Source organism: Homo sapiens, chromosome 6 (genome assembly GCF_000001405.40).
Source record: "Homo sapiens chromosome 6, GRCh38.p14 Primary Assembly".
In the NCBI taxonomy this organism is placed as follows: Eukaryota; Metazoa; Chordata; class Mammalia; order Primates; family Hominidae; genus Homo; species Homo sapiens.
This window is the reverse complement of record NC_000006.12, coordinates 128,099,770-128,122,988: the sequence shown is the minus strand read 5'-3', so window position 1 is coordinate 128,122,988 and position 23,219 is coordinate 128,099,770. Positions and strand designations below refer to the sequence as shown.

Below are 23,219 nucleotides of genomic sequence, written 5' to 3'. Positions count from 1 at the left end.
GTTCCAGGTGTTGACATCTGTTTCGGGACCCACTATTCCACCCACTTACACCATGCCATATCCATAAAGTGTTCAACCATCTGCATGAACTGGGCAAAAGAAGCCTTCAGAAAAATAATCTACAGTACAATTGAGTATATTATTAGTCTGCCAAGTGTTAGAATTTTCTTAATGATTATAATAATAGGTAATAATTATTGAACTCTTACTGTATGGTATTCACTGATAAGCATGCTCTACATATATTCTCTTTTAATTTTCATACTGCGGTTATCCTTCATTTGTAGGTGATAAAACCAAAGCACTGAGTAGTGAAGAAACTTGCCTAAAGTCATACAGCTGGTAAATTTCCTCCCAGTGTTAACAGCATTTATTGCTATTAAAACTGCTAATAAAATGTGTATCAAACATTTGCAGAAATTCTGAATCCTTCTATGGAACCTGAGGATTCTACTTTAAGGTTTAAAGTCATGAGAGAGAGAGGTTTACATTGAAAGAGTTTTCAGCTCCTTGGTAAGAAGTTTTATCAGTCTCTTTTGCTGAGGGGTTCTTGTGATAGAACTCAATAGTGCTTTTTCAATTTATAGGATTTCAGGTAAGATTCCACCTCCGTTATCCAGCTATCTTCTAATATACTCTTATCTTCTCTATTAAATGTTTCTCTCTGAAAATGATTTACCTTCTTATTCAGGCTTCCTCCTCAGTAGAATAACCCCAAACTCCTCCCCACCCCTATACATGCACACATGTGCTATTTTATCCATTTAACTTGTGTCTTCCCCCAAAGACTTAAAAATTCCTTCTTAATAATGTAAAAACTTATAAACTCTGCTACAAGCATACGTAACATTTCTCGAGGCTATTAAAAATATCTAGATGTCAGGTAAGTGTATATGATGAAGTAAGTGATTCAAATAGAACAATTAACAGATGGCAGCAACAATTATATATTCATATTCCTGGCCAACAGCATTTGGTAGATATAATTACCTTACAGGTGTTAACTGCCCTTTATGGAATGAGACATCTCTGAACACTAGAGAAACATGGTTAACGATGGTCACAAATCAGTAAAAATTCTATATTGACTCATTTTTTTAGACAAGAATCAGAAAGCTAAATTCAGTTTTTGGAGTATAGTGCTAAGTTCAGAAAAAGTGAAACTTAAACAGGAGAGCAGGTGTGGTGTAATCTTCAAGTTGATTGCTGGGATGGGGAAAAAAAAACCCCGCACATTAAAAGACATTTAAAATTCACTCAACATTTGGAAGGTACAGAGTCCAAAAAGGCAATCATTTAGGGAGAAGGAAGCAGCTGTTTTGACTTATTCCTTTGAGTTTCTTTAAATTACCTTAGTTTCATATGCAAAATAGTATTAACATGCTTTTTTCAAACAAAACTTTTCTGTGCAGATAAGTTTGTACTTATGTTTCTTTATAGCCTTTAGATTATTATACTAGAATGAGGATAAAATATAATTTTAATGTTACTGTTTATAATGTTTCAATCATTTGACCAGAAATATTTGAAAACCTGGATAGCCTCACACACACACACACAAATTACATCATTCAAGTGTTGTCATTTTACTTTTATTTTCTCCTGTGAACAGTAAATATTTGTCACTTCCATTTAACATTTGTATCACTTGCAGCTATCTGTCCAGGGAAATATTAAATGACTATCAGTCCCTACTGGGAGTGATATTGTCTGATTAAAACTAAATTTCCTCCCTTCTGTTCTACATTGGAGTCATCTCTAAATCTCTGAATTTAAGCTGTACTCAGCACTATAATTTAAGGCTAATTTATTTTACCTTTATTTTTTAAGTTATGTTTTCAAAGTTTTTGATTTTGTAGTTTTACATAGTAATAGTTTTACAACTATTTTGTAAAGCTCTTGAAGTTCAGCATGCCTCTTCTCAACTCTTATTTATTGCTGAATAATAGTTATTACTCAATAAATATTTTGATTGATTAATAAAAACCTATTTCAAATAACTATTTTCTAAAATTATTTTTTTCTCTTCCAATTCTGAAGGAAAAAAAGGTAATATACAGAAGTGGGTTGTTATGGGGAAACATGTTTATTGTGCTATAGTCCTCTTTTCCCCTGTAATGAAAAGTTAGGTTTTTAGTAGTAGAAATGTCATTTTAGTGAAATATGCCATAATTTTACTTTAGCGTTATATTCCCTATAACAATTGAAATTAAGTACATGTTGAAATACTTCCTTAAAAAAATTTAAACTGGAGTTTAAGTTTTGACTTCTTTGTCTAAGATATTCTCCAACACACCTGATGTTTCATTTTCTTCTTTTTCTTGTGCAGTTAAGAATATTATACTTTTCTGCCTTTATCATGATTAATATTCAATAAGTAAAGAAATTTTTCCATAAGCAATACATACATAAAATACAACCATAAGGAAACACTTTTAATCTTCCCTGGTTTCTGGCTTATGAGTTTGGTAATTCCTTAGCATTTAACCTTTGTCACAAATTGCCATGTGGCAGTGTGTATGCTGTCTTTTTGATAGATTTCCAGTAGTGGGATTACTATATTCAAAATAAAGAGCCTCAAATAGAGATAAACATTTATGTTTCATGATACTCTCGTTTTAGATTGGAAACATTCAGAAGTTTCTGAGGTGAGAATTGTTAAAAGAAGAAAGCTGTCCTACATAGAATACCTTTAAGAATACAATTTTTACATATTATTTGAAACACCAAAATTATTAGTAGTAATATAATATCAATTCTAATCATGTCTATAAGAATAGATTTGCATAGGAAAAACTAGAATTGACATGCAAAAAATTAATATTAGTCGTGCTTGAAAGTAGGATTAAGTTTAAAATTATATAATGATAACAAAATATTATCAAATTGAAAAGTTACAGGGAAATTAGTTAACAACATTTCTTTCAGTTAACTTTTTTTCAGATTTCATTGGATTACAATGGAATACTGAAGAATCAGACTTCTTCCTGAAACACTGAGACTGGAAAAAACATTTAACCTTATTTTTAATACAAAGAGAAGGATAGGAACTATTTTGTGTGGTTGTTGTAGGAACCAAAGAAAATGACACATAAAGCACCTAAATAATTGCCTGGTATATAGCTATTGCTGAATACATCCAAACTTTCCTTAATTTTTAAAATATGTCCATCGGTTCATTTGAAAATAGAGAATATCTAGCATAAATATTTTTGAAGCTATTCTCCTAAGCATTGCAGTTACTGGTTTTCCATTATACTTAACCTTATCATGATATCCTGGAGTTAATGTGAAAGGAGAAGTAACCATGATTGAGAAACCTGTATACAACAGAAGTCTTTCTCTTTTGAGACAAAGCCAATTTGGTCCTTGAGTAAATTTATTTTTTTAGCTATTATTTTATCAGAGACAACTGTAGCTTATTCCTGGAAATAACTGGCAAAGTCAGCAGCACTATTAGAAATAAATCCTTTGAGAAAATATTTTCAAACTTCTATTATATAATTTTGAATTTTTCATTACACCTAAAGAAGTTTGTGAAATATGTTTTAGCAAGAATGTCAATATTCAAAACCTTTTATATTTTAGGAGATGTTTGCATTCTTCATTGGAGAGTAAAATTGGGACTTAAGTAACAATATCTAATACAATTCATTTTGATCTTTGAAATTTAATGTAAAGAAACAGGAATCAAAGGAATGTAAATTTAAAAAAAAAACCAAAAAACACATCCATGGCTTGTGTTGTTTGTTATTTGTTTAGTTATGTTTAAGTTTTTTTAACTTATGTTTTTAGGTATGTTTTTATTACTGGAGAGAATCAAGACCCTGTAAATATACTTTACTAGCTTAGATTCCATTTAATTACTAGATTATATGTTATTTAGCCAATAGGTGAAATTTAAATTTACGCATGTCACTTAGTATCTTCACCTGGCTTTTCAGAAACAGCTGATTTATGCTATTAGAGCATTTAAATAATGTTTCTCACTGTTCTTTTCAAGACTAAATGGAAGCTCACCTGAGAGAAATGCAGTAAATGAAGTCAACTGGCAGATGTTCTATGGGAAAGAAAGTGCTATTGCAGTTTAGACTTCCAGTGTTCAGAACTTCCGAAAAAGTTTTTTACAAGATAAACCTAAGGAAAGTGAATGACCAAGGATTAAGAGGAAAATTTTCTTCTCAGATTAAAACCATAGAATAAATAGGAAGCAGCTGAGAAATGTGTGGCAGATTTCTCAAGTGGAAAAAGGTTAATGTTGGGGTTGCCCTCAGGATCAATTTTAATACTGGTAGCATGAAATCTATTAATGAGTCAGAAGGCAAGCTGGAGATATTTTGCTGATGTCATCATTTTGTCTCATACCAGTAACAAGAATAGATTAAGAACATAGCTAAAAGAAAAACCACATTTTTAAAAAAATTCAGAGGTCATTATAAACACCAAACTCAAAACAGTCCTTTCCAAACATGTGGCTTTCCTGTGTTCATGGTTCAAAGGAAATTGTTAAGGGAAAACTTCTTTAGTTTTATTGTTAATGTAAAAAGTGGTGTGTAAAATTCAGCATTCTTCCTGCTTTTCTGAATTCTACGTCCTGTATTTGTCAGCAGAAGTGGCCATATTAGAGAAAAAATATGTGCATGCATAGTTTCTTCCAAAATTGGGATTGGATGGCTAAGGCAGGTGCCAGGGTATTTGTGCAACACAGACACGCCACCATGTAAGTCCACGGTGACCTAGCTTTGTTCCCATTAGGTGCAAATCATGCTATAGATCCCTTCACCAAAAACTCTGATGGATAGAAGAGCAAATGAAGTTATTTGAGTCATAGGTCACTATGACTATTATGTATTGGTATTATTGTTGTTTGCCTATGAGCATTTCATAATCAAAGAATCTTTGCATGATGAGTGGGTTTCTTGTGTTTTCCATAATGAGGACGACTTCTTGTTGAGTTTGTGCATTTATTGGTTCTTGGATCATGTTTATCCTGTCACAAAAAAATGAATTATAAAATACAAGCATTTTTAACATAACATGGTCCAGGCACAGTGGCTGAAGCCTGTAACCCCAACACTTTGGCCGACGTGGGTGGATTGCCTGAGGTCAGGAGTTCGAGACCAGTCTGGCCAACATGGTAAAACCCCATCTCTACTAAAAATTCAAAACTTAGCTGGGCATGGTGGTGGGCGCCTGTAATCCTAGCTACTTGGGAGGCTGAGGCAGGAGAATCACTTGAACCCAGAAGGCAGAGGTTGCAGTGAGCTGAGATCATGCCACTGTACTCCAGCCTGGGCGACAGAGTAAGACTCCATCTCATAAATACATAAATAATATGAATATTTATATCCTGAAAACTAGGTTGCATAAAAGAAAAGCTGTGCAAATCTTAATTGATAAAAATGAATTAAGCTGGAGACTAAAAAATACAGAAAACTGCAGCATTTAAATACAGCAGATTATAAAATGTTATATTAGGGGAACAACTATTTTTGTTGCCAATGGATTCAAACTTACTAATTTCAGATTCTTCTAAAGTTTATGTCGTGCGATTGTAAATGTTATACTCCTTGCGGAAGCATTACCTAATCAATTTGATTTGCCCCATTGTTATTGAAGATATATTGCTTAGCACTCCAAATTACAATCTCTCTAACACTAACATAGGAAAATGCTTTTCAAACTGGGTTTTACAGAACTTATTTCTTCCTAGAGGAGCTTTAGGGGGTATTGAACGCTGTAATCCATAAATCTGGAATTGACATATCCTTGTTCATCAACATAGATTTGCTATTCCCATTAATTAGTTTATTTTTTATTTTTATTTTTTATTTTTTATTTTTTTGACAGAGTCTTGTTCTGTCTCCCAGGCTGGAGTGCAGTGGTATGATCTCGGCTCACTGCAACCTCCGCCTCCCGGGTTCATGCCATTCTCCTGCCTCCGCCTCCCGAGCAGCTGGGACTACAGGCACCCGCCACCATGCCCTGCTAATTTTTTGTATTTTTAGTAGAGACAGGGTTTCACCATATTAGCCAGGATGGTCTTGATCTCCTGACCTCGTGATCCACACGCCTCGGCCTCCCAAAGTGCTGGGATTACAGGCGTGAGCCACCATGCCCAGCCTATTAGTTTATATATTAATGGGAATATTTTGAAATTAGGTTTCAGTAATGACAATTTTGTCTCTTCATAAATGATTGCTCAACACAAGATCTTTTCTCTACCTGCATTTTACAGATGAATGAATTGAGGCTTAGAAAGATTACATACCTTGCCAATGTTCACCTGGTTATTCGTGGATCCAGATTGGAATATAACAAATTCCACAACTCTCCTCTAATCCACTGCACCATATTGTTGATTGCTGATATAGGTATAGGGATGTGGATTTCCTTTGCAGTCTTAGAAAGAATAGATTATTTTTACCCAAGCTTTGGATTCTTGTCTCTTTGGTTGCACCATGTCTTATCTGCCAAATCTTATCTGTCCCTCTTTGGTTGTGACACATCTTATTGTTGAAAAAATTTTGTGAAGACATCTGATTTTTCCAGAGATATATAGTTATCAATATATTCACATGTATCTGTAGCACGATGTTTTCATAATCCAAGAATAAATCAAATGGCCTGATATTTCAAATAAGGGTCAGATTATATCTGTACTACATTTCAAATATTAAGTATAGATAAAACTAATTAATTCTAAATTAAATAAAGATAAGAAGCATAGAAAATTCATTTCTAAGAGGTTGTAGGTCCTAAATCTAAATTTAGATAATACTGTGTCCCTGTTAACCTTAATCCATCCCTGACCAGTAACTGACATTGTAAATAAAAGGCAGATTAGACCATCAAGTATAGAAGATATAATTAGGAGTATCAAGTGTAACAGAAGTAGAAGAAATCTTGTAAAATGTAACAAATGATTGAGATAAGCTGTGATTTTCACATATAAGCAATAGTCTGTGAGTAGTTTTGGGGAGGAATGTTAAGGAGGGCTTTAGTGAGGATTCAGGGTGAAGTGGAGAGGGTGTTTACTTGTGAATGTATACCGCTCTGTGTGTTGATTTTGCAGATAAAAAACACATTTTCAAGTTAGTGACTAGTATGCATTAAATATGGGAGAGTAAAAGAAGGATGTATTTAATAGGAAATTCACTTATTTTCCATCTGTATCTGATTATCTTAAAATAAGACTTGTTCACTGTAATACCATGTGAACATTAACATTCAGGTTTTAATTATAAGTTATAAACTAATAATAAAATGTATATCATATATTACTTTTTGAAATCCCTTTTATATCTGTTATTCTAAGTCATTTAAACCTTGAAAGCTTGTAATATAGGGATTAGCATTCCCATTTTAATGATGGAAAAAAGCATCTATAAAACTTTAGTGTGAAATTTATCTCTTCACTCCCTTAATTACTCTTATATGGCTTTTATTATATACCACTTGCTTCCTAATTTTATTTTTATGATCAGCTTTTTATAATAAAATCATTACTCTTGTGGCTGTATACCTGTCTATATGTTTTTGACATTCTGTACATTTTTACATAAGTGTCTGTTTCAGTTGTACCAAGGAGACATGTGTGGGAAAGTGGAGAAAGGGTGAGCACTTCCAATTTTATATGTGGCTATAGAAGGTACATTTCCTAGAACACTTGCTACAGAAGTGGGACATTGCTTCTGAATGTCCTACATGTATGAGCCAGAGGATCCTAGGGGACATATGTGTTTGACTTAGAAACCAAGAGTAAATGACTGTGTCCAGTCAGGTATGCTGAGCTGTTCAGGCTGGCTGGAGACCTGTATGATTTTGGGGTATGGTGCTGGGTGCAGTCCAGTAGCTGGAAGTTGGCCAGAATGCCAAGTGCTTGATATATGTCCTGGGATGATTGGCATTACCTTGAATGTGACAGAGAGTAGAGGAGTGACATAATGGGATTGCATTTTAGGAATATCACCCTGGGGGACTGTGTTTTGGTTTAATTTTTTTTTTAATCGCAGAATAAGACACATGTATAAACAAAAGAATGGCTGAAGAAAAACAAAGTCTGTGATACTTACATATATAGCACAAGTTGACATAAATGCCACTTATACCTGCCTTTCTTTTTGCTCCTGGCATGCCTTTATTTCAGTGGCCCCTCTGGGTCTGCTCTGTCTCTGGGTCTTTACTCTGAGCTGTATACCTGTAATATGTTTTGCTCTGTGTCCCCACCCAAATCTCATCTTGAATCATAATCCACATAAGTTGAGGCAGGGACCTGGTGGGAGGTGATTAGTTCTTGGGGGTCGTTTCCTCCAGGCTGTTCTTGTGATAGTGAGTTCTTGCTAGAGCTTTTTTTTTTTTTTTTTGAGACTGAGTCTTACTCTGTCACCCAGGCTGGAGTGCAGTGGCGCGACCTTGGCTCATTGCAACCTCCACCTCCTCCCTGGTTCAAGCAATTCTCTTGCCTCATTCTTCCAAGTAGCTGGGATTACAAGTGCATGCCAACATGTTTGGCTAATTGTTTTGTATTTTTACTAGATACAGGATTTCACCATGTTGGCTAGGCTGGTTTTGAACTCCTGACCTTAGGTGATCCGCCCACCTCCGCCTCTGAAAGTGCTGAGATTACAGGCATGAGCCACCACGCCTGGCCAAGCTGATGCTTTTAAAGTGTGGCACTTCCCCGCTCACTTGCTCTCTCTCTCCTGCCGTCATGTAATACATGCCTTGCCTCCTCTTCACCTTCTGCCATAATTGTAAGTTTCCTGAGGCATTCCCACCCATGCAGCACTGTGAGTCAGTTAAACCTTTTTTCTTCATAAACTACCTAGTCTAAGGTAGTTCTTTACAGCTGTGTGAAAAAGCACTAATACAATCTGGAATACACCCCACAAACCTCTAAGTAATCAACTCCTGCCTCTTAGCCTTCAAAATGCAACTCAAATGGTCTTTCTTCAAGGAAGCCTTACTTGATGCCTTATTATCAATCAAGGCTTTCTTGTTATATGTTGTCATAGTTCTTTACAGTTTTCTTTTATAACATTAATCACAGTTTTACTCAAACACTGTTGGATACCATAAAGATACATTCTGTAATTAAGGATAGTATATATATGTGTGTGCACTTATGTATACATGTGTCCGTGTGTGTATACTTTGTATGTATTTAGAGGACTGTGACTTCTTCCTTGTGAGGTGTTTTTTAAGTACACAGAAGCATTTGTTTACTGGGATTTGAAAATGATCTTGCCAAGGCAGGAGAATTGGTGTTTATATTTACAACTGTCTTTCAATATACACAAGGAATTGGTTCTGGGACCCCCATGGATCACAAAATCTGCAGATGCTCAAGTCCCTTACACAAAATGGTGTAATATTTTCATGTAACCTGAGCATATCCTCCTATATACTTTAAATTTTCTCCACATTATTTATAATACTTATAAAATGTAAATGGTATGTAAATAGTTGTTATACTGTATTTTTATTTGTATTTTTTAATTTTTTTCCAAATATTTTCAACCCATGGTTGGTTGAATCTGTAGATGCAGAACCTGCAGGTATTGAGAACTGACTATATATATGTTATTTTATATATATAATTTCTTATATATATTTATGTAATTTATAATACATGCTTATATTAGAAATTATGTATGTGCACAAAGCAACAACTAACTGTTAACACTGGTATAATTCTTTCAAGTTTTTTTCTTCTGTCTGTGTACATATGTATATTCTATCTGTATACAGTTACTTGGCTCAATACCATAGATACATTTTGTGTCTGTCTTTGTATAACTAATATACTGAGAATTTTCTGGTGTAATTAGAAACAAAGGGAAGGCTGATAGAACTGGAGGCGAAGAGATTAGTTAGGAGGCTATGTCATTCCTCTTGATGAGGTCTCAGAATCGTGAGGATGGATAATTTCAGAGTAACAAATGGCAAGATTTGGAGTTTTATTTGATGTAAGTGTATGGAAGAGAGGAACAACTATCATATGCAGGATGACTCTCAGGTTTGAGTAAGTGAGTAGATGACTGTAGAAGGAAGAATCCTTTGGAAAAAGAGATAGGAAAGATGAATTCAGTTACCGACATGAGTTTGAGTTGCCTGTAAGAAATCAAACTGCATTTACCCAGTTAACCAGGCTATTCTAATTCACCAACAAAGTGAAAGCAAAAGAATATGGCCTCTGAACTCTATGTGCTAAACTATATTTAGCTTCCATGTTCGGAAAGCTTAGTGAATTATTAAGGGGGATTATGACTCCTCTTCCCCTAGAGATATTTTGTAAGTACACACAAGCATTTGTCTGTTGTGTTTTGAAAATGAACTTGCCAAGGCAGGGCAATTGCCAGCCCAGACAACCTGTCAAGAGCTCTTCCAGAGCTCTGAAACTGTGATACACTTAGATTTATGTTTCCTCTGTCACATGCTTTTATTGTACCACAGTTTTCCTAAGTGTTTTCCCTTTGCTGAGCAAATAAGAATTCATTGTAATTTACTAAATTGTGTTCTCTCCATCCTAAAATCAAATGCTGAGATCTCATATTAACATAAAAAGTACTGATGATTCAATACCTTATTTTTCTTTTTAATGTCTTTCCATCCAAGAAAGTTATAATATTCACTTAAAGAAACTGTATCATATGTACTAGCCATGCATGCAGTTTTTACATATTTTTACCTATATTTTCCATTCTCTTTACTAAATTTCTCTGCAGTGTGATTCAAACTAAGTACTGAAGTAAATGCTAGTGTCATTAAAATAAAATACACATTAAGAATGCTATAGTAAAAAGTTTGGATACTAAGTAAAAGTCAGTTTCTAAAATTAACATATTTGTTGAGCAAATCTGTAACTAGCCCTCACAACCAGCTCTCTGTCTTATCAAGATTTAGTTTGCTATTCATGCTCAGACATGGATAGTAAGAGTGGTAATAACATTAGAAGAATAAATTCATGAAAGCTGTAAAACCTTTTTCAGCACCCTCCCCTCCATCTTCACAGGTAAAATTAAGCATTCATTCAATCATAAGTCATTCACAGATACACCTGTTATGTGTTAGATATCATGTTAGGTTCTGGAAATATAAAAATAGAAAAGAAATGAGAAGTGCCCTCACTCCAGTAGTAGAGACAAGCATATAAACTGATCATCTAAAAATGCGAGATCCATACCCATATCACAAAGCATTATAAAGGCATCTAACTGAGCATGGAGAAGATATGGAATCAAATAAAGAATCCTGGAGAGCACCTGAGCTGAGTGATATCAAAGGATAATTAAGAAGAGTTAGCCAGATGGGGTGGTTGGGTGAGAGAGAGTGACTCTCATGGAGGGAGGTGTGTTCCTATAACTTAGAAAACCCAGTTATAGGTACATTTTAAGTAAGCATAAAACTACATTTCCAGATAAAAATGATATTTGTTTCATATCAGAAAAATGATGTAAAATAGCAATTTTTACTGTCATTTGTATGCAGATTTAAGAGGAATATTCTGAGATACAGTTTAAGTTCTACAGCTAGTCTGTTTTTTCTCTTATTCTTTATTTCCTCTAACTTAGTAAATACTTCCATAATTACAGGTCAACAAGAATGATCTCTAGCAGATATTTAGTTACTGGCAGTTCTGGATGTTTGGATCTAGGGTTAAACCAGAAATAGTGAAGAGATGTTTTACTGGAAAGTACTTTTGGCAAACTGTCAGCGTCTAAGTTGGCAAGCATGTCTGACTGAAAAGCTAGAAGGTTAAATGTATTAACTTAGGATATAATGATAAATAGATTTTTACATGGTCTTTGGTTGCATTCAGGAGTTGAAATTTGTTTTCATATTTGGTTATAGCAGTGGATGCATTTTTAAATATGCCTACCGATAGGACATCACTTGCTTTCTCAAAAATATAGAAAACTATTGTGATGTTGTTGTAGATTAGAGTTAAGCTTGCAACAATTGTGTCATTTGAACTGCCGATCCTCACCATCAGACGTGGTGATATGTAGGTCCTGACAGTCAGTAAATTGAAAAGATTGCTGAATTGGACTATTTGGGCACACCACCTGAAATAATTCAAATGGTCTTAAATAGCATTTGTGTCAGCAAGGAATGTGTTAATCTCAACCTTCATTTTGAAAACCCATGTGAGCTTGTTTCCCCTTGAGAGTCAACATACTTCAGTTTGGCAAGGCAGTCTTGCATTCATTCCTCATTTTTTCACTCAATACACTGAAAATATATGGTTATATTCACTGTTTTTGATCATTTTCTTCAACACTGAATCAAGCTCAGACAGTACTGTGCTTGACTCTTGGCTCTTCTCAAATGAATGAAATATCTATATTGACATTTTTTTTTTTTACTTCTATCTTCAAAGTGCCAACTTTCCCTTCTGCATAAATATCTGTGCTCCTCTAGTGTTGAATCCACCTGCATATGTAGTCCTAGCTCTATGGGGTGACTGGTACCAAAAGATATGGAGCCTTTTGCCCTGAAGCTGATTCTGCACATCTATCAAGAGCATATCCTCTGCACATTAATGGCTTGTTCAGCTGTTAAATGAAACGTCGGCTACTACTTCCAAAAGACAGGGATTGATAACTTTTCCACATTGTATGGCTCCTCTACCTTGACATTAGACAATGTCTAGCATTGTTCATTGATGTAGACATTTTGTAAATAGGGTGTCCTGATTCTTTGAGTGCATAATATTTATCATTAATTTTATCAGGGGCCAACTCAAAAGTAGTGTTGATAGGTTGGGCATGGTGGCTCACACCTGTAATCCTAGCATTTTTGGAGACCAAGATGGGAGGACTGCTCGAGGCCAGAAGTTTAAGACCAGTCTGGACAAGATAGTGAGACCCTGTCTCCACAAAAATAAAAATAAGTAGCCCCAAAAAATAAAACAAATCAACATGGTGGTGCATACCTGTAGTATTAGACACTCAGGAGACTGAGGCAGGAGGATTGCTTAAGCCCAGTATTTCCAGATTAAGGTGAGCTATGATTGAGCCATTGATTTCCAGCTAGGGCAACAGAGCAAGAGCCTGTCTCTCCTCCTCCCCCCCCAAAAAAGTAGTGTGTATACACTTGCTTTACTTATGAGAGAATCAATTGAAGTCTCTGTTTTTTCATCCTTTCTCATTTTGGGGGAATAAAATTATCAATTATATCATGGAAAATGTTTTGTTCTTGTTCTATAAACAGTTGTTTGCTTTACTACAGAGGTTACTGGGCTTGTTTTGAAAATGGTGAAAAAGTCAATAGATTTAGCCCACTATTTCAAAATATTTTATTACCAACAGTTCACTGAGCTCTAGGTATGAATGGATCACCAGTATAAGAAAATCCAAGTTTTCAAGTATTTAAGTTGTGCTTCCTTTCTTGTCTTTCTATCACTGCTTGTTCTAGCACAAAGAGATTCACATTATATTTTGACACTGGACTCTGTCGTTATGGTAAGGAGCTAGCTTATGTTCATTACCATTTTTAGTCTTGATGAACCAATTCTGAGACATTGATACCTTTTTAAATTGTTGTCATATAGCAAGAAAAGAGTATTAAGTTTAAAAACACATTTAACATATGTAAATAATGAATACAACTTAAAAATAAGGTAGATAAGACAACTGTATCAGAACAATCCTTGTGCAGGTGTGAGCCATTAATAATGTAACAATTATTAATAATGTATGTGGGTTACATTGAAAATCATAATTAATTTTACATTTCAAACTTTTGAAACTTGTAAAAGGGCAAGTATGACAAGCATAGGACTCATTTAGAAGGCTGATGAGGCTGTTCATTTGCATTTTGCTACTCTAATATTGTTTTACAAGCTATTGTTTTAACAGTATAAATTAAATATAATCATTGACACATGGTAGTTTTTTTTAAATGTTCTTGGAAATTATCATTCTGTTCTGTGTATTATGAGCTAAATGTTTGTGTTCCCCCAAAATCCATATGTTGAAGCCCTCTACTCCATTGAGATGGCATTTGGAGGTCAGAGTTTGGGGAAACAATTAGGTTTAAATGTAGTATAAGGATGCAACACCTGTTATATTAGTGTCCTTATCAGAGAAAGAGATGTGAACTAGCTCATTCTCTGTCGTGTAAGGACAAAAATAGAAGGCAGCTATCTGTAATCTGGAAGAGGTACCTCATCAGAACCTGCCCTTGCTATCACCCCAATCTCAGATTCCCAGCCTCCAGAACTGTGAGAAATATATTTCTGCTCTGGAAACCACCCAGACTATGATAGTTTATGGAAGCCCAAGCAGACCACAACACTGGGAAATTCTTTGTATATCATTACTTACAATTTCCAGATTTTTAAATGTAAACTCTGTGCAGTGTTAAAGAGAATATTGTTTTTGCATCTGTCAAAACTGAATTTGAATTCTGGCCAGGTGAAGACAGGTTATGGCAAGGTACCTCACCAGAGGTACTATCAATACATTATTCAATCCCCTATCAGTAAGTTAGTCAATTTCCTCTTTTGTAAAATTTAGCAAGGGAAATCTGCCATTTAGAGTTCTTATGGGTACTAAATGAAATAATATATATAAAGCTTTTTCCATGGCACATAGTACGTACCTTGTTGCCTCTACTCTCTTTTTCTGCACTAGGTACAATCAACAGTCAAATTTTTTCTTCTTTTGTTATTTTATTGCATTTTTATTGATAATGTCTTAGCTATTTTTTATTCACTAAAATGACTGTATTAGCTTGTTATTTTAGCGTCATATGAGGGAAACACTAAACTTAGTACGATTTTTAAAAAGTCAATACAAACACTAAAACAATGTTGGCACTTAAAGAATGTGCTTTAGGAATAACTAATTCTGAGTGAAATTTGTGTGTGTGTGTGTGTGTGTGTGTGTGTGTGTGTGTGTGTGTGTGTGTTTTGCTATTTAGGGATTTGGTTTGTTTTTGGCATGGCCTGGGACATAATCAAATGGTTGAGAGATCACTTTCTGATCCATGTAAAATTAAAAGCAAATTGCAATGATGAGATGGTTGACAAATGAAAAGAAATATGATTATGTCAAGGAGAAAATAGAGGCCTCTCGTGACACAGTCCTTGGCATGTGCCCATGTAGGGGACTGCTGTCTTGCTCATCAGGAGGTGCCATCTCAATTATACCTCTCCATGTGAATCCTTGTCCAATGATGCAGATCCACTCTGAGAGAGTCAAGTTTTCTATTAGAGACACTTGAAAATCTTCATCTCTCAAATTGTTACAAGTATTATGATTTAATACAGATATTTTTGTTACATTTTTAAAAGAAGTTTGATGACATAGTATGTATGTAACTTAAGGCAAATTGATATACAAACACTTTTTCTTTATTTTAACTTTGATGAAATAACTGATCATTCTTTTACTTAAAATTATATGTTTTTTACTCAAATACAAATAATTTTAAAGACCTTGAAGAAATACAATTTATTTCTCCATCACTTTTTACATTATACAGCTTTGGGCTAGAGGAATTAATACATTATTCTGCTTTAGGGGAAGTGTTTCAAAATATTTTTAAAATATGTATTCCTGGTATACATTATGCCTTGGTGCATCAGAGAATTGAATTATAGTTTTCCTTAGAAAATGTATACAAACAATGTGTTCTCAAAGCATGTAAAAGAAGAAAAGGAAAAGGTGAAACTGTCATACTGTAATTGCTGAGTACCACATTTTCATGATTTTCTTAAGGCCTTCCATTTATGCTATAAATTTCTTCTAAAAACAAACAATTTATATACTTATATATTATATAATACTATATGAGATAAACATGTACTAGCAAGTTATGAGTAGCATCAGTTGTTGAAGTATAATTACATGGATTGCTTAATTTTGGTTATTTATCAGAATGTATTAGTAAATGTCTAGCTATGTTGTCTTGTATTTAAGACAAATCATTCTAATTTCAGAACAATCCAAAAATTAGCCAAGTGGATATTTCTTTAAACCCAGTTTTGAAGAATTTATAGTAAAGTACCTCTGTTAGGCCCTCAGATCATTTATACTTACCAAATTCTTTTTTATTTACCTTTACAAAAAAATACTAAAATATTCCAAGAAAGAATTAAAGTATATTGGAATGTTATAAATAGCTACAGTTTGATCATGACATTTGGGTGCTAGAAATGTGCTTGAGCTCTCATTTATATTGAAGATAAATAAACGACTAAACTTTTTAAACAATTCTCCCCATAGTTTTACATTCAAAAGAATTATTGAAATATTCAGTACTAATGTTAAATGATATATTGAGAATTTCACTTGTAGATAAAAAGACAGTTTGCATTCATGTATGAAAATGAGTGGGTAGGCCCAAGGGATTTGGTTTAGAGGAAAAGCTTTGTGTTTAGCAGCATTGTCTATTCTTTTGTGTAGTTTTCTATATGTCACACTTCTATTAGATTTTAGTGCTTTTTTTTTTCAAGTTAGTTGTTTTTCCTAGCGCTTTACACACACATTTTTTCAAGCACCTGAAAATGGGCAAAGTAATCCAGAAATCATGCTTTTTTCCCAAAATTATTTAGCTTGACATTTTGAAAATCAAAACTCAATGCTTTTATTTTCTACAGAGGGAGTAGAAGATGGATAAACAGCCAAACACTTAATTGGGTTTGGGGAAAGAAAAAGAAACAACAACAAAACTAAACGATTCTTCCCAAAACTCTCAAGGGTTTTATTTTTATAAGTGATAATGCTAGTGGACCACTAATATACAACTACAATAAAGTTAATAACTACATTTTATTCATAAAGTTTGCCAGGTAATTTTCTATGTACTTTCTATTATCGCATCTTATTTTATCCTTAATTCAACTCTATAAGGTAGATACTAGTTTTTTGTTTTTCTCATTTCATAGATTTGGGAAGGATGTCTGTGGATGTTAAGTAACTTGCACTAAGTTACCTGTAGTCTGATTCCACAGCCTGTTCACTAAGGCATTTCATATACATGTATGACCTTTTCAGCAATGGAGAAAAACACATAGAAGCCAGGAAATACTCTTGTGAAACTTGTTCTAGGCTATTATCATAATCGGAGTGGTAAAATTAAAAGCAGTGTACAATGAGACTTGATCTCCAGAATCATAGAACATAAGTGGCATTAAACTCAAGGTAAATGGTAATGACGCAGGCTGTAAAAACTAACTCCTTAGGTCTCCATGTGAATGAAAAAGATGTTTAATGTGCATTAAATGGCAGCATCTGTTCTAGAGTGTAACCTGAAAAAAATCAGTTGTTTATGAATTAAACTTAGTTAGTGCAGGGCATCTGATTTTTAAATGGGAATATCAAGTAACCTAAGACACCAAAGATCTGTTCTTCCTATGCTATGAAAGTAACATCCATTGATTTCAGTAATTTTCTTTCTGTCTTCATGAGTTTTATTTTGATATTTTATGCTCAAAGCCTTTAGATTTCGTAACACCTCCTTTAGGGTAAAATTGTTTAAAGTTAATATATTCATCGCTTTCTTACTCTACACTTAGCACTGAATAAGAAATAAGTGAGGTAAGGCCGGGTGCGGTGGCTCACGCCTGTAATCCCAGCACTTTGGGAGGCTGAGGTGGGCGGATCACAAGGTCAGGAGATCAAGACCATCCTGGCTAACACGGTGAAACCCCGTCTCTACTAAAAATACAAAAAAATAGCAGGGCGTGGTGGCGGGCGCCTGTAGTCCCAGCTACTCCGGAGGCTGAGGCAGCAGAATGGCGCGAACCCGGGAGGCGGAGCTTGCGGTGAGCCGAGATCGTGCCACTGCACTCCAGCCTGGGCGACAGAGCAAGACTCCGTCTCAAAAGAAAAAAAAAAAAAAAAGAAATAAGTGAGGTAATACGTTTCTTGCCCTAGAGAAACTTGCTCTCTAGTTGAGAAAACAAGAGAAGTATTTGAAAGATCAAGAAACAATAAAAGGCAATTAAAAATGAATATCATTAAACTAGTTTGATATTCATGATAGATAAAATGTTTTAAGTACTCTTCAGATTTTCATCTTTATGTTTACACTTTCTTCTGTCCAAGACTTTTCACCTTTGGAACATTTCAAAGTTTCACAATGACCTTTTCCTCTCCTCTCAGTTGATTTCACCAAGTAATTTGACATTTTTGTTATTCTAATTAATATTTTTACTTTGCTTCTTTAGCATTAAACCATGTTAAGGGTTTTTCTAGAGCATTACCCTGGTCAGTTGTTTAAATCTCATTTTATAAAGACATTCAGACATAAGCTTTCGTTGATGGCTTTTCTGTTACCGAAGAGTAACCTTCAATCAGTAAAAATGTGTAGGTCACTTATATGCCAGGAACTTACTGACTAAAGAATACACAATGATCCATTCTATTTATTCAGTCAGTTATTTATCAGCTCAAATATGTATTGAGCAATGATTACGTACCAAGTATTTTAGTATGGAAAGACAGAATATAGGCCGGGCGTGGTGGCTTATGCCTATAATCCCAGAACTTTGGGAGGCCGAGGCAGGCGGATCACGAGGTTAGGAGTTCGAGACCGTCCTGGCTAACACAGTGAAACCCTGTCTCTACTAAAAATACAAAAAGCCCGGCGTAGTGGCCAGTGCCTGTAGTCCCAGCAACTCGGGAGGCTGAGGCAGGAGAATGGCGAGAACCTGGGAGGTGGAGCTTGCAGTGAGCCGAGATCGCACCACTGTACTCCAGCCTGGGTGACAGAGTGAGACTCCGTCTCAAAAAAAGAAAAGGAAAGACAGAATGTAATGAAGTTAAGTAAAATATAAATGATTTTAGATGGCAATAATTGCTTGGGAGAAAAATGAAGAAGTAAATGGATATCAAGGAAAGCTTCATTAAGAAGGTGACATTTGAATAAAGCCTTACAGGAGGCGAGGAAAGGAGACACATGAATATCTGGTAGAATAACATTCTAGGCAGAGAGAAAAGCAGGTACAAAGGCCCTGCTTGGGACAAGAAGCGTAGCTGGCATGTTTGAACGGAGCAAGCAAGGCTGAGTAGTAGGTGCTGAGGTCAGTGCAGGTGAGATGGTGTGGGGAGACACCATCTGCAGGACCTGGCCTTCCACTCCTACTGTGATTCAGATGGGAAGTCACTGGGGGCTTTTTCAGGATCCCTGTAACAAACTGTGGGAAGACAGGTCAAAGAGGAAGCAGGGTTCATTTGATATGGTATGGAGAGTTTCACTGATTGCAGCCCCAGGTGATAATGGCTAAAATGAAATAAATAGCATTGGTGGAAGTCATGGTCAAGTGGACAGATTCTAATCTAAACATCATGCAGGGGGAAAAAAAGAATTGTCTGATGAAAAGGATGTGATGTGTCAGATTGAAGTGGGAGAGTTCTGTGACCCCTATCGCAGGATGTTCAACAGGGGTGTGGCTCACCTGTTCAGCTGAAACCCCTTACAGGAGGGGGAACATGCAGATGGGCAGGTGCAGGAACCAGGGTGAGCACTTTTGGGCTCTAGCCCCACAGTAGCAACTAGGGGTGGGTGCCTGTGACTCCTGAAGCCCCAGTGGGTATGTTACAGTGCTCCTTATCTCTGCCATCTGCAGATGGCTTAAGTGTTAATCAGCTCAGTGCCTTCTTGGTACCCGGGTCTTTGTCTGGTGTCCAGGAAGAATCAGGTCACACAAAGACTTGAAGGATGGTGAATGAGGGGGTTTTATTGAGTGGTAGTGGCTCTCAGCGGGATGTATGGGGACCCGGAAAGGGGGTGGAGTGGGAAGATGATCTTCCCCTGGAGTTTGGCTGTTTCACGGCTGATCTCCTCTCCAGCCTTCCCCAGCCAAGCTCCTCAACATTTAGACACTCCTTGTCTTCTCTCCTTCTCTGCCGCTCCACTCTTCTGTTCCTCTGTTCTTCTGCTCATCTGCTCAAGGAACCTGGGGTTTGGTGTTAATATGGGAAGAGGATAGGGCAGCATGGCAGGCCAAAAGGCAACATTTGGGTGCAAAAACAGGAATACCTGTTTCCATTTAGGGCCACGTGTTTCCAGGCTTGAGGGTGGGGCCTTTGCTGGGGAACTGCCCTCTTCTACCCAGCATTTCCCTGCCTCTTGTCTATATCAAGATGAAGGAAGGCCTTTGGATGATTCTCAGGTTTTTGAACTGAACTGGAGTGACTTTACTGAGATAGGAAAGCTTGGCCAGGGAACATGCTATGGAATCACATTAGCTCGGATTTGGAGATTTTGTTTGAGATACTCATTAGAAAATTAAGTTGAAATATTTGGTAGGTAATTGAATACATGAGTCTGGAGTTCAGGAAGAGGTTTAGCTGGAGATTAACATTCAAAAGTATTTTCCTTCCCCATGCACACTTTCTTCCACCTGGGATGAATGGATATAGTAGTAGATAAATACGGCAATTTGAATAGAAGTTCTTTCCTGTCTAAAATGGCAGGGAAGATTTTCTGCAACCCTATTATTTCTGAAGGTCCTTCATACCCCCTCACTTTACAATGAAAGCATGTAGTCATGTTTTGGAAAAGACCACATTTGTAACTCCTGTGGGGACACGCCCTATTTTTCCTGTCTTAAGACTTTTAAAATTTTATTTACCTCTTTTTTCCAACAGTGCTTTGACTTTATTACATTAAAATAAATTTACCTGCCTGTGGGCCTTCACTTTTATCACACAGTGAGTTATATAAGAAAAGGAGTCATGTCTTATTCACCTTTGAATTCTAAGCAAGTGATCTGGCCTCTGTAATTTCTTGCTAATTATTTGATAAAGATACTTGTTCTTGACATTTAAATGGCTACTAGGCAACTGATCTTGGAGTTTATTCTATATTTTTAAAATCTGCTATATATTGCAAACATATTAGTTGCTTGTTTTAACATTTATTGAGCTCCATTTCTTCAAGACTCAGTTTACATAAACCATTTATCTCTAGAGAGGGCATACGTGTTAATATAGGAGGCCCAAACACCCAAATGAATGGAAGACATGATGCATTAAATGCTTTAATAAAGGTACAGATTAAAACATTATTTATCACATTGTTACTTTGTCAGACTTCCTGACCAAGCTGTCACTGAAAGAATAGTATATTCCAACTCTACATTGAAGTGTTTCAATAGGGAGATCAATAGTGGGGAATGTATTCTGATTAGATGGAATGAAATAGATAATGGTACATATGTTGGACAGTGCTACATTAGTTTTGGTAGCAGATGAATACATTGGCAGGAGTATAGGGCATTGGGAGAATACATGAGATAAAGTGGCACTATGTGTTAGAAGATCTTTGGGCTCTAGGGCAAAGGCATTTTACTGTATTTTGTTCATCCTAGGAAATCTCTAACAATTATTTGGATGTGAACAGGTTATGTAATTAGAACTGTACTTTCAAAGGTCTAGATGAAAAATACACTATGAATATTAATGGTAGCAAGATTTCCTAATAGTTCAGGTGAGAGAAAGTTAGGACCTGAATGAAAGAAAAAGACATAGAATTGCTAGCTATTATATTAAATGATGTATTAAGTAGATGTGGTAACAGATGAGGTACTATGTGGGAAACAGAAGAGCCAATGATGTCTTTAAGGTTTTAGTCTGGAAACTAACATCCTTAATAGAAGCAGGAAGGTTAGAATGAGGTGCTTGTGGAAAATGATGATGAATCTTGTTTTAAACATTATATTAGCATCCAGATGGAAATCCACAGGCAGTTTGAAATTCAGAGCCAGAATTCAAGAGCTAGGTTGGAACTGGTAATTTAGATTTGGATGTAGAAAAAAATGTGAATACTAAGTTAGTATATTCACAGAACAAACATGAAATAATCTCCCAGTTCTTTTACACTTTTACACACTTCTTTGTTTACTATTCTTCTGTGAATATTTATACAGATTAGAACCTTCTACATAATACTTCAAAATGTAGCCCTACCAGGACATATTTATGGAAACAAAGGAAACCAGTCTTCTAGGTTGTCGTTTCTATGTGTTGTTAACATTTTGTGATTTCCTGTGGAATGGAACCCTTTGAAAATAGTAGTAGATTTTAATAGAAAATATCTTAATTAAATACCTTGCATAAAGTATTTGAGACATAAATTACTTTTTTACTTATACAATTTAAGGAGATTTTATTTTCTTCTAAGGCCACTATAAAACACACTGGAACATTTGACTAACCCTGTAGACTGGCTCGAGCCAGTTCATGCTCTAACACTTACTTTTGAATACCTTTTCAAAAGTAAAGAAATGAATTATTTAGGTATATATCAAGAGGAATTTCCTTTTATTTATTTATATTCTATGTGTCTTCATATATAGGAGTTATTCAGCTCTGAGATATAATCAATTAGAATATTGAAAGAGATTTCATAGGAAACAAAGATCAACTAATGTTCAAAAAATTACAAACATGAAAAGAGAAAGGTGAGATTTTGACACTGGAAAATATTAGGCTCCCCTAATGTTTCAGTGTATGGATGTTTATTAAAATTTTTCTGGACAACCTCAGTCCTTAAAATTACTGGACATAAAATATATAGCAGCACTATGAAAGCTTTTAAAGTGAGAATATTCATAAGGCTGAGTTTGCTATGATTTTAATAGTCCCTAAGTTATTTCCTAACTTTCAAATGACCATATTTATTCTAGTAATTTAAAAAAATTTGTCTTCATTCCATTATCTCAAAAAAGATCATGACTCTTCCATTTTAATATGTTCTCAGATTTTCCAGGTAGAAGTGAAGGAGTTCATTATTCTTATCTTTGTCAATTTCCTAATTTACAAATGAGCTGAAGCAATTAATCCTTGCAAGTCGCCTGTATTAATTATAGTCTAAGGCAGGTTTATTTGCAGTTTTGTAATTCTTTTTGTCACATTTTCACTGTGTTTACTATCTCAGCTTGATGCTTGTTGACATGCTGATTCATGTTTTGGTGCACTAGATAGGTTTTATTCATCTAGAGGAATGAGTATAAAGAGGTCACACCTTATAATCACACTAGCATTTCTAGTATGTGCAGGCCATATATCTCCTTTTAATTTAATCTCTGAAAAATGTACAGGGATTTCTGCAGCTAAGCTGTACAAATCAATAAAATTTATAATCAAGGCTGTCTAATCTCTAAACCTAATATAAGACTTCACAACTATTGATTATATGTGAAGGATCTGCAAGCTGTTAATCATGCATGAAGGCATAAAATAAATGGTGGCTTCAGA

At 35.2% G+C, this 23,219-nt stretch overlaps 1 protein-coding gene across 6 annotated transcripts in view; it reads left to right on the top strand.

Moving 5' to 3' along the window:
- PTPRK (protein tyrosine phosphatase receptor type K) overlaps positions 1-23,219 on the top strand; it is a 551,815-nt gene that overhangs the window by 397,611 nt on the left and 130,985 nt on the right. The window lies entirely within an intron of this gene.